Source organism: Homo sapiens, chromosome 12 (assembly GCF_000001405.40).
Source record: "Homo sapiens chromosome 12, GRCh38.p14 Primary Assembly".
NCBI classification, from domain to species: Eukaryota; Metazoa; Chordata; class Mammalia; order Primates; family Hominidae; genus Homo; species Homo sapiens.
Genome location: NC_000012.12, coordinates 11,936,198 through 11,952,532, shown reverse-complemented (window position 1 = coordinate 11,952,532; position 16,335 = coordinate 11,936,198). Strand labels below are relative to the sequence as shown.

General features: G+C 43.7%; 1 annotated feature.

Annotated features, from left to right (window-relative positions):
• Nucleotides 1,925-2,709: an enhancer, noted in NCBI's record as "H3K27ac-H3K4me1 hESC enhancer chr12:12102758-12103542 (GRCh37/hg19 assembly coordinates)". NCBI's record gives its function as "activates a minimal SCP1, AML or CMV promoter by ChIP-STARR-seq in primed H9 embryonic stem cells {active_cell/tissue: H9 hESC(primed)}" and the evidence as "EXISTENCE:reporter gene assay evidence [ECO:0000049][PMID:30033119]".

Genomic DNA, 16,335 nt, shown 5'->3' with positions numbered 1-16,335 from the left:
AAGTGATTCTCCTGCCTCAGCCTCCCAAGTAGCTGGGATTACAGGTGCCCACCACCACACCCAGTTAATTTTGTATTTTTAGTAGAGGCAGGTTTTCACCATGTTAGCCAGGCTGGTCTCAAACTCCTGACCCCAGGTGATCCGTCCACCTTGGCCTCCCAAAGTGCTGGGATTACAGGCATGAGCCACCGCGTCTGGCCTGGAAGGAATTATTATAGTGAATTTGATTGTTCTTAAGAGATAAATAAGCTTCAGATCCTGGCTCTATGCATTAGAAGTCTTGGGACCTTGAGCTAGTTACTTAAATCCCTCTGAACCTCAGTTTCTCTTTTCTTTCTTTTTTTTTTTTTTTTTGAGACGGGGTTTTGCTCTGTCACTGAGGCTGGATTGCAGTGGCCTTGACCTCCTGGGCTCAATGATCCTCCTGCCTCAGTCTCCCGAGTAGCAGGGACTACAGGTGCACAACACCACGCCTGGCTAATTTTGAAATATTTTTAGAGATGGATTCATGCTATGTTACCCAGGCTAGCCTTGAACTCCTGGCCTTAAGTGATCCTCCCACCTAGGTCTTCCAAAAACACTGAGATTATAAATATGAGCCACCGTGCCTGGCCTGAACCTTATTTTTATTCTGTGTAAAATGAGGAACACAGGAGTGTTGTATGGATTAAAAAAGATTATGTACCTTGAGTGCTTAGCTCAAGGTACTTTAATATTATTAACTTTTAATAATAATATTAAAGGTTAAATTTAAATAACAACAATTTAAAGTGAATCACTATGAAATAGAAATATGGTATCAGTTGTTCAAAATAAAGGCAGTAAAAAGGAGGATGCTAACCCCAATCAATTACAAGGAAGGTAAGATGGAAAAAAGAGAAAAAGCAGGGTTAAGGACAGCAGGAAAAATGGATGGAAGTAACAAATAAAAAATGTTTTACATTGAAGATTTTTGGTTCCCATCATAAACTCGAATCACATGGACTGCATGGCCGATCACTACAGAGGAAGAGCAGGGGAAGAGCAAGCCACAGCCTCCTCCTTATATGTTTGGGGAGCCAGGGCATTCTTGCCATTTATCTCTCGGGTGTGTCCAGGTTCTCTTGCACATGACATGCTCTCAAAAGGTTGGGCATAATAGTCTTTCCTGTGCATGGTCACACCTCACAGTATAATTTCGTGGGTGTATGAATTCCATAGACACTCTCCCATCAAAATAATTATCATTTAGTGGTCCATTTTTTGAGTGGACTGTCTTATTAACACACCCGGGAAGTATCAAATGGTATTTGATAACTAAAGGAATTTGTTTACCTTGCACAATGTATTTAAGTTAGTGAAATTCCACTGTTGATTTCATTTGGTCCAACCCCAACACCACTGATTTTCTTCTCCACTGTTTCTGTATCCTCATTCACTCAACCCGTCCCAACTCTTAAGCTGTTTGAACCCAGTTACCTTTAATTCTGACTTCTGAGTTATAATTACTTGCATTTGCTGTCTGCCTTCATAATTATTAAATATTCTCAACATTATCTTGTTTAATCCTCAGAAGATGAGCCAATGATTAAACAGTATCATCCCCATTTTATAGAGGCAGAAAGGGAAGCTTGTGCAGGTTAAGTGAGTTTGCACAAGATTACAGCCAAAAAGGAGCCAAGCCATTTGACAAGGGTGTTCTCATTTCTGACTTTTTCCATTATGCTCCAGCTGTCCCCTCTTATCTCATCAAAGTCATCCTCATCAGCTACTATATAAGGGCATTTGCCTAGTAAGTCTTCATCTATTTCTCTTTATTTCTGTTCCTCCTGGTTTTCACTCCTAGCTTTCCCTGACTGTTCCAGCCATTTGCACTCCCAAGACCAGCTTTAGCCGATTTACCTTATTACATCCCAAAAAGGAAGAAGCCTTGGTGATTGGGTCTGGTTGTCCACCTATTTTCCCAGCTTTTAACCCAGACATCTTTGCCATGATCATGACTATTATTTCAGAACTTGGAGGACACTCTTCAATTACCTGCATTTCCTCTGGCAGAGCTGACAGACCATCCGTATGGGTAGAGTGCTCTTTGCCTCAATTGTAATAAAAATTTTAATTATTCATCAGTACAGTAGCTGTTAGACAAATGCCCAATTATTATTCATCCATAGCTAAGTAACCTTCTGCTCTTTTTTGGAACAGTGACAAGCGCAGCCCTGCCAGAACTGGCAGAGGGCACAGATCAAAGAGTGCTTTGTGCCTTGCTTTTACCAGGAAAGAGAAGGAGAGCCAGAGCTTCCTGCTGGTGCCCCGGCCTCCTCCCTCACCTGTCCCCCAATGCAGCTCCCTCCAAGCCCAACAGCCCCGAGTCAGGAAAGCTGGGAGCAGGGGAGACTTGGAGTCCCCGCCAGCAGGCTGCAGCTGTGGGGCACTGGGCACGGCCAGGTCACCTGGCAGAGGCTCTGGGTGGAACAGCTGCAGGGGGCTTGTTGCCAAAGAAGTGACAAAATTGCAAACGAGGGTTTGGAGAGTGGCTTTTGCTTAGACATACACTGTGGCTGATTTTCCTTCACAATAGGTGGCACCTCCCTGCCCTTCCCCTGCAGGCCCAGGTGACCAGGCCAGCAAAGTCGTGAAGGAGGACGTCTCCTCAGGTGGCAGCCCTTCCCTCCCTGCTTCTGGTTTCTCCTTCCAGTGACTCTTCCTTGTGAAGCTCCTCCTCCGGCTCACCAAAGCATCAGAACCTTTAGGCTGACCCAGATCTCAGGGATGGGGGCTTTTCCTGGCTGGACAGCTTTCCTAGTTTCCACTGTGCTACCTTTTCCTCTCAAAACGTAGCAGGAGGCAGCTCTTGGCCAGAGAGACTCATGCCCTCTGCCTACTCTCCAGAAAGCCTTTCTGCACATTCTAAGAGGCACCCAGGCTTTGCCATATCCCCTCTCATCTTCCATCCTGAGACCTTGTGGAACTTGCTGCCGGCGGCTTCCACATGGAACCTCAGCCCTTCCCCAGAATGGGTCTCCCACAGGGCAGCCCCTTCTGGCTGCTGCAGACCCCAGGGGTCTGTGCCTGTGGGACCCTCACACCACTACACTCAGCCTATCCAAACCACTCTGCTGCCACCTCCTTGTCCTTTCTGCAACACACCTTTCTCCCGAGGAGCACCCCCGTGTCACTTTCTCACCTCAGGGTTCCCATCCTCCCTTTCTCGGTCATGTCACCTCCCTCCCCTTTAACCTGCCATGGCTTTCCACCTTCAGCTGTAAAAGCTGAAGTCTTTACAATGCGCCTACGTGGTTGGCCCCCCAGTTACACTCCAACGAATACAAATTCTACTTTCCTCCTCCTCCCTCTCTCTTCGGCAGCTCCACAGGTAAAACCTGATCCTGCCTCAGGGTGTTTGCACTTGCTGCTCTCAGACTTGAAAACTCTTCACACAGATATTCACTGTCTTACTCCTTCATCTTCCATGTTCATTCTATACAGAGTAATGCCCAGCCGCTCCTCACCCCACCAACCTAATCTTTTTATGGCCTTGTTACCTCAATATATCATTTATTTATTTTTTGTTTATTGTCCACCTCCCTCTAGTAGAAGCTAAGTAAGCTTCATGAGAATAGAGACTTTGTTTTTGTTCACAGATAGTGGAGTGCTGTGGACTGAGTTGTGTCCCTCCCCTCCCCAATCATGCATTGAAGCCCACTGAGGAGCTCCTCAGCTGGCACCACCATTTCTGACAATTCCAGAGCTGACTGCCTGGGAAGAAACAGAGGCACCCAGGGCCTCTTGGCCTCTCGGTGTCTCTTCAAAGTCAAAGAATATTTGTGGTGGGAACGAGATGACGGGGAGTCAGAAGGATGGGAGCTGTGGTCACAGCATGAAGCACAGGGGTCCAAGAGTTCTGGGGGGAGGCTCAGGCTGGAGATAACAAGTTGGGTTGCCCAATGTGATGGTGTTTGGAGAGGGGGTCTTTAGGAGGTGATTAGGTTCAGATGAGGTCGTAAGAGTAGGACCCTCATGGTGGGATTAGTGTCCTTATAAGAAGAGACACCAGAGAGCTCATATGTGCTCTCTCTCTCTGCCCCGACCTCAGGCGAGGACACAGTGAGAAGGTGGCCATCACCAGACCCCAGCCATGCTGGCTGACACCCTGATCTCCGACTTCCAGACTCCAGAACTGATATGGTTTGGGTCTGTCTCCCCACCCAAATCTCATGTAGAATTGCAATTCCCAGTGTTGGAGGTGGGCCTGGTGGGAGGTGACTAGATCATAGGGGCGGGTTCTCATGAATGGTTTAACACCACCACCCCCCCCACTTGGTACTCTCTTTGGGATAGTGAGGGAGTTCTCGTCAGATCTGGTTGTTTAAAAGTGTGCAGCACCTCCTCCTCCCTCTCTCTCTTGCTCCTGCTCCCTCCATGTGGGACCTGTCGCTCCTGCTTTGCCTTCCAGCATGGTTGGAAGCTTCCTAAAGCCTCCCCAGAAGCAGAAGCCGCTATGCTTCCTGTACAGCCTGCAGAACTGTGAGCCAATTAAACCTCTTTCCTTTATAAATTACCCAGTCTCAGGTATTCCTTTAAAGCAGTGCGAGAATGGACTCTTACAAGAACTATGAAAAATAAATTCCTATTGTTTAAGCCATGGTATTTCGTTCTGGCAGCCTGAGCCAACTAAGACATGGAGGTTCATTATTGGTTTAAATAAATAAATATTTGCTTAAATGAACAAATTGATGTTCCAGGTAGCAAGGGGCCAGGAGAGGAAAGCTAGACTGTTGTGGTTGTCGCTTGTTTGCTCCCATGGCTACTCTGCCCCTGTGTGAAGTCGTCCGAGGCTATTACCACCTGGCTCTACCTCCTCTCATTGTCACCTACTGTTTCCTTGTGATTCTCTCACTGAGGCTTCATTCTTCATTTTCTTCCACTCAATTTTTAATACCCCTATAGATGATCTGCCTCTCAAACTGCTTCCTCAGTTTCAAGATCTTATCACCACTGCACTCCACCCTCCCACAGGACTTGCTATCCCACGCTGAGGATCCCCCCAGAAGTCTTACACCCCGTGCTTCATGCTGTGACCACAGCACCCATCCTTCTGACTCCCCGTCATCTTGTTCCCACCACACAAGCTGTTTGACTTTGAAGAGACTCCGAGAGGCCGAGAGGCCCTGGTTCCTTCTGTTTCCTCCCAGGCAGTCAGCTCTGGAGTTGTCACAAATGGTGGTGCCAGTTGAGGAGTCAGGGAGGGGCTGAAATCTAAGCTGCACTTTGCTCAGCAAGCTGTGCACTGGGGCAGGGTAATGTCCCCCAAAGAAGGAGCATGTTTCTCTTCGTATAAAGAACAGACCTTGCCAAGTCATGTGCCTGCAGGATTGCATATGCCTAGCAGGATATTTTAACAGAGAAGCAGCACGTACCCAAGCAGCAGCCTTGCTATCCCCCATAGTGCAGTGGGCCCCAACCAGGCACCAGAAACTGGTTTCCTGGAAGATAATTTTTCCATGAACCAATGGCAGGTGGAAGGGGCATGACTTCGGGATGAAACTGTTCCACCTCAGATCATCAGGCATTAGCTTCTCCTAAGGAGCTCACAGCCTAGATCCCTCACATGTGCAGTTCACAATAAGGTTCATGCTCCTATGAGAATCTGATGCCCCCCGCTGATCTGACAGGAGGCAGAGCTCAGGTGGTAATGCTTACTCACCTGCCACTCACCTCCTGCTGTGCAGCCTGGTTCCTAACAGGCCATGGTCTGGTACCAGTCCACAGCCCAGGGATTGGGGACCCGTGCTATAGTGACTGGCTGCCCAAAACCTCCTGAACTCTTTCCACACTTTGATGGTTTTTCATAGTGTAAATACCAACCTCTCAACAGGGGTGCAAGGGGGAAGGGAGATGAAACACACACACACACACACACACACGCAGGTCCCCCTTGCCCCCTTGCTGCCAGGGGCAGATGTGTGATTTAGGTGTCACCAACCATAATGCTTCTACGTCAGGCTTTGACTCAAAACCGAGTTCTCCAGGGAAGGCAGAGCAGAGGCCTCTGTTTTCCAGGAGGATGGTGGTGGCATTGGGGGTTTGGTTCTCTCGCGGGCAGCTGTGGTGGCCGGTCCCCAAGTGAAAGCTTCGTGATGATGGCGGAGGCTCAGCTCCTTTGATGGGCCGGCTCCACCGTGTGTGGTGGGGAGTCATTCCTGGAAGCTCAGCCAAGAGTCTGTTTCTTTGCACCTCTCAGGGATTTTTTTGAGCTATCTATATCACTTTCTGCTAAACTAGCTGGAGCGGATCCTGCTCCCTCTAACGAGAACGCTGGCTAACAGAAGCACCCTCCTCGCCTCCCTCCCTTCCCTTCCCAGTCCAAGTCCTGTGATCATCTGAGCTACTCTCCCCTCAACACCCTTGATATCTTTGCCTCCCCGCACCCATCCTTCCTCTGTACCCACTCAGCAAAACACCTCCCCCTACTCTCCTATCCTTTCACACCTGGTCAGCTGAGCAGTGTTTTGGGGGAAAGGCCATGCACACTGCCACCATTTGTGTCTCAGCCTCAACTGGGTCTTTCGATGCCCAGTACCAGCAACCTTTTATCTTCTTGCTACATCCCTTTCCTATTCTCTTCAACAACTTAGAAACCTTTGCCATTCCCCATACATGGCCTTCTGCACTCTGAGCAGACAGCCCTTTGACTCCCTGCTCTGCTCACCCCATGCCCCTGGAACCCCCTCACCCATTTCCCCTGCCAATCAATATGCATCCTTTGTGCACTTCCTCCAGGGTCAGAGCCCAGAGCGCCCCCTCTCCTACTTAAAGGCAACCTCATCATGCTGCCTCTGGTGCTGTCATCTCCCAACCTGTTTGGATCCTATGTCCGGCATTGCCATTTGCTCATGCATCTTCTGCGATTTTTTCTCTCGTCAAAAAATAACTGAAAAACATCTAGTTAGTTTGCATGTTGGTTAATTATTTTGTATGCAAATTGTTTCCTCATATGTGAGGGAATCAGCTCTGAAGCCTAGTTAAGGATTTATAAAAATAAGTGGAGGTTGAGGAAAAACTGCAGTGTATACACAATAAATCTTATCTATGCTCTCTGGGGGTGGGTAGGGGGTGGCAGGTAAACTGTTTAGTGGCAGCTAGCAAAGACGGCCAGTCTGGGCCTCCTGTCCTTGAGTAGGTTAAAAAAGGATATCAAAGAATGATTTCAGTGGTTTACAGATTTTCAAGAAAACTTTGGGAGTTTGATTGAGGGGCTCATATTCCAGGCTCTCCCTCTAATGTCTACCAATGTTCTTCCATCAGTGCCTTCACTTCCATTAGGATTTCTCAATGTTGAGCCTCTCATCATGCTCAAATAATTACCATCCTCAATAAATTATTCTCGGCCATGTGAGGTGTCATCTGACTGTAATCTCAGCACTTTGGGAGGCCGAGCTCGTTGGATCGCTTGAGCCCAGGAGTTCCAGACTAGCCTGGGAGACATGGCAAAACTCCAGCTCTGCAAAAAATACAAAAATTAGCCAGTCGTAGTAGTGCATACCTGTAGTCCCAGCTACTCGGGAGGCTGAGGTGGGAGGATCAATTGAGCCTGGGGAGATAGAGGCTACAGCGAGTCAGGATTGTGCCACTGCACTCCAGCCTGGGCAACAAAGTGAGACCCTATCTCAAAAAAAAAAAAAAAAAATTATCCCCTGACTCTTCCCTGCCAGCAACCCTCCAATTTCTTATTCAAACATCTCTGAAAACTCTTCTCCTTCCCCTCTGCTTCCTCACCTCCCTTTTGCTCCTTATTCCATGTGGGGCTGTCTTCTGAACCCCATCATTCTACCAAAGCTCTCATGAGAATGTCATTCATGACCTATGTACCAAACCCAGGGGATATTTTTTAGCTCTCTTCTTCCTGGATTTTTCTGCTGCCTTTGACACTTTGGGGCTCCTGAGATACCCCTCAGTCCTAGTTCTTCCTCTTCATGTACATCTGCGATCATTGAAAAGCTACCTCATCCGTGGGCTTCCTTTCTTCACACCACAGCCTTAGATGTTGGCATTCCCCAGGGTTTTTCTTGGCCAGTTCTCTTCTCTCTGGACTCCCAGAATCATCAACTGTCGTTTTTACAGCTAATGACTATGTGCTAGTGATTCCCAAACCTGCCAACTATTGCTAGAAAATTACACAGAAGAAAATTACAGTCAAGTGATGGGGAGAGGATTTGTTTTTTGCTGAGACAGAAATACAAACGCTTCACTGAACCCTTGCCATTTCTTATTCACCTTTTGCTGGGAGTTACCTGGATGTTTATGAGGAGGCGATAAGGTTTGCTAAGGTGACAGTGGAGCACGACTTCGCCCGGATCACTCCTCCTGCACAATGAAGACTGAGAAGTGGCTGTCTTTTGGTTCACTCCATCCATCTGTTCTCCCATGAGCTCCTCTGTCAATATTGACACTAGTTAGGCACATTGCAGGCGGGGGGTAATACACTCTGCCCCAGGAGCACCACCGTTACTCAGATAGGCTGACTGGGCTTGGGAATGAATGCTAGTGGCCTCTTATGTCCGTAATCTACCCCATCCAGCCACCTAGGAGCCATTTTTCTGCTATTTAAGTATAATTAGCATGCCCTGTTGCGTAGCATCAGGTAAAAAGACCTCCTGAGGGGCTGCTGTTGCAGTTTGCAATTTTTGTATCCAGAATTTGTCCTGGGAGCACTGGTAGAATTCCATGGAGGTAGCTAGAGGGATGTGATGCTTTCAGAATGGTGGCCTCTTCCTAAGGCACAACCCCTTCCTGAGAGACATCCCTGCAAACCACGTCCCCTGCAGCATGATTTGCCTCTACCATACATCTGGGCTTTCAATCACCCTTTGGCTTAACATTTTTTTTTTTTTTTGAGACGGAGTCTTGCTCTGTCATCCAGGCTAGAGTGCAGTGGCGCAATCTCGGCTCACTGCACGCTCCGCCTCCTGGGTTCACGCCATTCTTCCTGCCTCAGCCTCCCGAGTAGCTGGGACTACAGGCGCCTGCCACCATGCCCGGCTAATTTTATTTTTTTGTATTTTTAGTAGAGATGAGGTTTCACCGTGTTAGCCGGGATGATCTCGATCTCCTGACCTCGTGATCCACCCGCCTCGGCCTCCCAAAGTGCTGGGATTACAGGCGTGAGCCACCGCACCCAGCCTGGCTCAACATTTTCTTGTCCCCCACCACCGTCTTGCGTACATGACTTGCTCCTTGAAGGCAGAGGCCATGGGGGTTACACATGGCACATATGACGCATTTCTAGTGAGAAAGGAAACAAAGCAAAGAGCCCAGGCCTAGACATAGAAAGAACATCAACTCTGAGTCGGAAAAACCTGTTTATGAGTTGTGCTTAGTTATTTACAGATTGTGTGACTTGGGGTAATTACTTATCTGAAACCTCACTTTGTTAATTTAAAATATGAGATTAATAATTCATTTTATCACATGATGGTTGCAAAACTTCAATGAGAAATCACAGGTAAAGCACTCGGCATTCAGTAAATGCCTCCAAATGGTAGTTGTTAGTAGCATCATTAATAGATGCTTAATAACTATGTTCCTTGCTCCTACTGCTTTCTCATTTCTTTCTAGAGAATTCCGTCAGTCCTGTGATTTGCCTATTGCATTACATGGTGGATAATTTCTCTTCCAAACTCTCTCCTGTCTGTTCAGCACGCTCAGGCATTTATCATTGCAGGTGGGTATTGATGCAATAATTTTTGTGTCTATGGTTTGCGTCTTAAACCCAAGTTAAGGTTTCTGAAGTTGGGATTCTATTTTATAGCTTTTGAATCCCTACTGGCTTACACAGTGTTGCAATCACAGTAGATGCTCAGTAAATATGGAGTGGCACAGATGAATAACATTTCACCTTAGAATATAATCAGGCCTATGCTGGGATGAAAATAATACCCCCTTAATCGTCACTCTATATTCTACTCCCAATCACCACCACCCCTGCACTCCACATCCTTTTTTTTTTTTTTTTTTTTTTTTTAAAGACAGGGTCTGGTTCTGCTGCCCAGAGTGGAATGCAGTGGTGCAATCTCCACTCAGTGCCATCTCCTCCTCCTGGGCTCAAGCAATCCTCTCATCTCAGCCCCTCGAGCAGCTGGGACTACAGGCACATGCCGCCATGGCTGGCTAATTTTTGTATTTTTTGTAGAGACAGGGTTTTGCCATGTTGTCCAGGCTGGTCTTGAACTCCTGAACTCAAGTGATCCACCTGCCTCCACCTCCCAAAGTGCTGGGTTTACAGGCATGAGCTACCATGCCTGGCCTCTCCACATTCCTTTATACAGGGCTGACCCCACCCAAGCTGGGGCCTACTGTGGTAGCCCAAGCTGGAACAGATTGCTGTGCAAATACTTGGCAAAGTAATCATCTATTTGTGGATAAGCAGAAATTGGCTGTATCCCCAGTAGAGTTTTGAATTGTCACTATTAACACCCATGAGTCACTAACATGGTGGGCCGAGTGATTTTTCTGCTAAGCTTATAGGGCATATTATACTAAAAATGCCACTGGCTTAGTCTGTTTTCTGTTGCTATAACAGAATACCACAGAATGGGTAATTTATAAAGAAAAGAAACTTCTTTCTCACAGTTCTGGAAGCTGGGGTGTCCAAGAGCACAGCACTGGCATCTGGTGAGGGTTGTCCCATGGTGGAAGGGCAGAAGGCAGAAGCAATTGCAGGAGATGAAGAGAGGAAATCAGACCACACCTGTGGTTTTTATCAGGACTCAGCTCCTGTGATGACTAACTGCTCCTGGGATAAGGGCATTAATCCATTCATGAGGATGGAGCTCTCATGGCCTAATCACTTCTTAAAGGCCTCACCTCTTCATACTGTAATGATGGCAATTAATTTCAACACATGAACTTTGGGGGACATAGCAGTTTACAGTCTTGTCCATCTGTCAGATCAGTGTCTGCTCCACTGATGTCACAAATATTTAAATGGGCTTCTTTATTTTTGACCAAGCACATAAGGCCTTTAAGTAATTCCTGGATCCCACATGTGGGTTGGGTTGGGGTTTAAATAAGAGGTGTTATTTTTCTCTTCATGGCTTCCAGGACAAGTTATGGTATGATGAGGGAAGTTAAGGGGGGAAATAAGAAAACTAATCCTGTACTTCTATTCCCTAAGCCAGAACTTTGATCTCACTTCCTAGAAATGGAAGCAGTAGGAACTAGATGGAAGAGCAGATGACTGGAATGACCCTTAACTCAGTGGAATTTAAGCCCCAGAAAACGTTACTTCATTGACCATGCTGTTTCATGTCCACCTTCCAGATCGCTCACAAATGCCTAATTTGACCAGCTCTACTCTGGGACATGCAGGGGAGTGAATTTTGGGAGGCATGGTTCCTGCTTAGTTAGACTGACACAGTGTAAAGTTACCACAGATAGCAGCTTAGTTAGCAGCCTAGGAAAAGAAAAGCCTGGAAGAGAGAAAGGAAAATATCAATTATATCTCTCAATTGTAAAAGTAATTTCTCCCTTCGTAGTTAGTATGCAATCCTTGAGTAATAGTTTCAGGTTGTATGAAAATCCTGATGCCCAACAAAGTTACCCAGTGGCTTCAGCATTTTCTCATGATCCTCGCTGAATCAATGTTTATAAATTGCCCGGACTGACCCTTCAAGCCAGGGCCTGTGAACCTTTACCGTGACCCTTGGACTCTGTGTCCTTCTTTATTTTGGAGAGGGAGGGAAGAGATCCCAGGCTCAACTTGCACTCCAGTCCTAGACCTGGAGCCCTTGTTCTTTTTAGTGGAGAATGATGTTTAGAAACCAACATCTGGTTGTTGGATGTGCTCATTGCTATTGGTGTGTCATTACACCTAAGCCCTTTCAATGAAAGTGATAAAAAATATATTTTTACAAATCATGAATTCATACCGATAATTATAATTCAGATTTATTCTTGGCCTTTAAAAAATTTTAAATTTTTATTTTTTCTTTCACAGTGAAAATCTTGGCTCCAATAATATTAATTGTTTTACTTATTTGTTTTATGTTACAATATATATAAAATAGTTTCAGAATATAATACCATTATTACTACTACTAATACACTACTAAGTAAAATTTATATTTATTTGCAGTTTGTCCATAGAATATATGTCCTACTAGTGATATATAGAATATGGTCTTTGAAAATTACTTGGTTTTCCTATGTGGATATGCTATTGAATTCAGATAAAGTTAGGTTAGTTTAAAAAATTAATAAACTTGATTTTTTAGAGAAGTTTTAGATTCACAGCAAAAGTAAATGAAGGGCACAGAAGGTTTCTATATACTTTTTTTCACACACAGTGTACAATTTCCTTCACAATCACCAGCCAGCACCAGAGTGGTACGTTTGTTATAATCCATCAATCTACGTGGACACATCATTATCATCCAAGGTCTAGAGTTTACATAAGGGTTCACTGTTGGTGATGTACATTCTATGAGTTTTGACAAATGTATAATGATACATATTCACTATTATGGGATCATACAGAATAGTTTCACTGCCCTAGAAATCTGTGCTCTGCCTATTTAACCCTAACCCTTGACAACCACTGATGTTTTTATTGTCTCTATAGTTTTGACAACCACTGATCTTTTTATTGGCTCTATAGTTTTGCCTTTCCCAGAATGTCATATAGTTGAAATCATGTAATCTGTAGCTTTTTCCAATTGGTATTTCTTACTTAGTAAAATGCATTTAAGTTTCCTCCATGTCTTTTATTGGCTTGATAGTTCATTTCTTTTTAGGGCTGAATAATATTCTATTGTCTGGATGCATCAGTTTACTTATATATTCATCTAGTGAAGGACATCTTTGTTGCTTCCAAGTTTTGGCAATTATGAATAAAGCAATTTCAAATTTAATTTTAAACTTCATAAGTTTATAGCAATATATATCCATGCGCAGGTTTTTGTGTAGGCATAAGTTTTTAATCTATTTGGATAAATACCAAGGAGCACACTTGCTCGATCATATGGTGAGAGTATGTTTAGTTGTATGTGAAACCATCAAACTATCTTCCAAAGTGGCTATACCACTTTGCAATTTTAGCAGCAATGAATGAGAGTTCCTGTTGCTCTACATCTTTGCCAGCATTTGGTGTTTTCGGTGTTTTGAATTTTGACTCCTTTAATGGGGGTGTAGTGCTATCTTATTGTTGTTTTAATTTGCGATTCCCTAATGATAAATGATGTGGAATATCTCTTCATATTTTTATTTTCCATCTGCATATCTTCTTTGGTGAGGTATCATTTAAGTCTTTTGCCCAGTTTTTAGATATATACATATTTATTTACTTGTGAAGATTTTAATATATTACTCTACTAATACATTATTTATTATATAAAACATGCAGAAATAAAAAATTGAAAAGTTTGGGATGAAGATGAAATTATATTTTAAAACTACATTATTAAATGATAGCAAATACTTTTTGCTCTCACAAAAATGTTATTAATAATTTAGAGGGTACAATATGGTGAAAACTGTCTCATTAATTTTTTCTTCTATTGATAAATAATGTTTTTACATATCGATGGGGTACCTGTGAATGTTTTTTACATGCACAGAATGTGGAATGATCAAGTCAAGGTGTTTCGAGTATCCATCGTCTTGGGTGTTTATCATTTCTGTGTGTTGGGAACATTTCAAGTCCTCTCTTCTACATAGCAGCAATTTAACATATCTTTGCTAACTACAGTCGCCCCAGTGTGCTGTCAAACATTAGAACTTATTTTTTGTTTGTATCCTCTTTTATTTCCTTGAGCAGTGGTTTGTAGTTCTCCTTGAAGAGGTCCTTCACATCCCTTGTAAGTTGGATTCCTAGGTATTTTATTCTCTTTGAAGCAATTGTGAATGGGAATTCACTCATGATTTGGCTCTCTGTTTGTCTGTTATTGGTGTATAAGAATGCTTGTGATTTTTGTACATTGATTTTGTATCCTGAGACTTTGCTGAAGTTGCTTATCAGCTTAAGGAGATTTTGGGCTGAGACAATGGGGTTTTCTAGATATACAATCATGTCGTCTGCAAACAGGGACAATTTGACTTCCTCTTTTCCTAATTGAATACCCTTTATTTCCTTCTCCTGCCTAATTGCCCTGGCCAGAACTTCCAACACTATGTTGAATAGGAGTGGTGAGAGAGGGCATCCCTGTCTTGTGCCAGTTTTCAAAGGGAATGCTTCCAGTTTTTGCCCATTCAGTATGATATTGGCTGTGGGTTTGTCATAGATAGCGCTTATTATTTTGAAATACATCCCATCAATACCTAATTTATTGAGAGTTTTTAGCATGAAGGGTTGTTGAATTTTGTCAAAGGCTTTTTCTGCATCTATTGAGATAATCATGTGGTTTTTGTCTTTGGCTCTGTTTATATGCTGGATTACATTTATTGATTTGCGTATATTGAACCAGCCTTGCATCCCAGGGATGAAGCCCACTTGATCATGGTGGATAAGCTTTTTGATGTGCTGCTGGATTCGTTTTGCCAGTATTTTATTGAGGATTTTTGCATCAATGTTCATCAAGGATATTGGTCTAAAATTCTCTTTTTTGGTTGTGTCTCTGCCTGGCTTTGGTATCAGAATGATGCTGGCCTCATAAAATGAGTTAGGGAGGATTCCCTCTTTTTCTATTGATTGGAATAGTTTCAGAAGGAATGGTACCAGTTCCTCCTTGTACCTCTGGTAGAATTCGGCTGTGAATCCATCTGGTCCTGGACTCTTTTTTGTTGGTAAATTATTGATTATTGCCACAATTTCAGCTCCTGTTATTGGTCTATTCAGAGATTCAACTTCTTCCTGGTTTAGTCTTGGGAGAGTGTATGTGTCGAGGAATTTATCCATTTCTTCTAGATTTTCTAGTTTATTTGCGTAGAGGTGTTTGTAGTATTCTCTGATGGTAGTTTGTATTTCTGTGGGATCGGTGGTGATATCCTCTTTATCATTTTTTATTGTGTCTATTTGATTCTTCTCTCTTTTTTTCTTTATTAGTCTTGCTAGCGGTCTATCAATTTTGTTGATCCTTTCAAAAAAAAACATTCCATGCTCATGGGTAGGAAGAATCAATATCGTGAAAATGGCCATACTGCCCAAGGTAATTTACAGATTCAATGCCATCCCCATAAAGCTACCAATGACTTTCTTCACAGAATTGGAAAAAACTACTTTAAAGTTCATATGGAACCAAAAAAGAGCCCGCATCGCCAAGGCAATCCTAAGCCAAAAGAACAAAGCTGGAGGCATCATGCTACCTGACTTCTAACTATACTACAAGGCTACAGTAACCAAAACAGCATGGTACTGGTGCCAAAACAGAGATATAGATCAATGGAACAGAACAGAGCCCTCAGAAATAACGCCGCATATCTACAACTATCTGATCTTTGACAAACCTGAGAAAAACAAGCAATGGGGAAAGGATTCCCTATTTAATAAATGGTGCTGGGAAAACTGGCTAGCCATATGTAGAAAGCTGAAACTGGTTCCCTTCCTTACACCTTATACAAAAATCAATTCAAGATGGATTAAAGACTTAAACGTTAGACCTAAAACCATAAAAACCCTAGAAGAAAACCTAGGCAATACCATTCAGGACATAGGCATGGGCAAGGACTTCATGTCAAAAACACCAAAAGCAATGGCAACAAAAGCCAAAATTGACAAATGGGATCTAATTAAACTCAAGAGCTTCTGCACAGCAAAAGAAACTACCATCAGAGTGAACAGGCAACCTACAAAATGGGAGAAAATTTTTGCAACCTACTCATCTGACAAAGGGCTAATATCCAGAATCTACAATGAACTCAAACAAATTTACAAGAAAAAAACAACCCCATCAACAAGTGGACGAAGGACATGAACAGACACTTCTCAAAAGAAGACATTTATGCAGCCAAAAACACATGAAAAAATGCTCATCATCACTGGCCATCAGAGAAATGCAAATCAAAACCACAATGAGATACCATCTCACACCAGTTAGAATGGCAATCATTAAAAAGTCAGGAAACAACAGGTGCTGGAGAGGATGTGGAGAAATAGGAACACTTGTACACTGTTGGTGGGACTGTAAACTAGTTCAACCATTGTGGAAGTCAGTGTGGCGATTCCTCAGGGATCTAGAACTAGAAATACCATTTGACCTAGCAATCCCATTACTGGGTATATACCCAAAGGACTATAAATCATGTTGCTATAAAGACACATGCACACGTATGTTTATTGCGGCATTATTCACAATAGCAAAGACTTGGAACCAACCCAAATGTCCAACAATGATAGACTGGATTAAGAAAATGTGGCACATATAC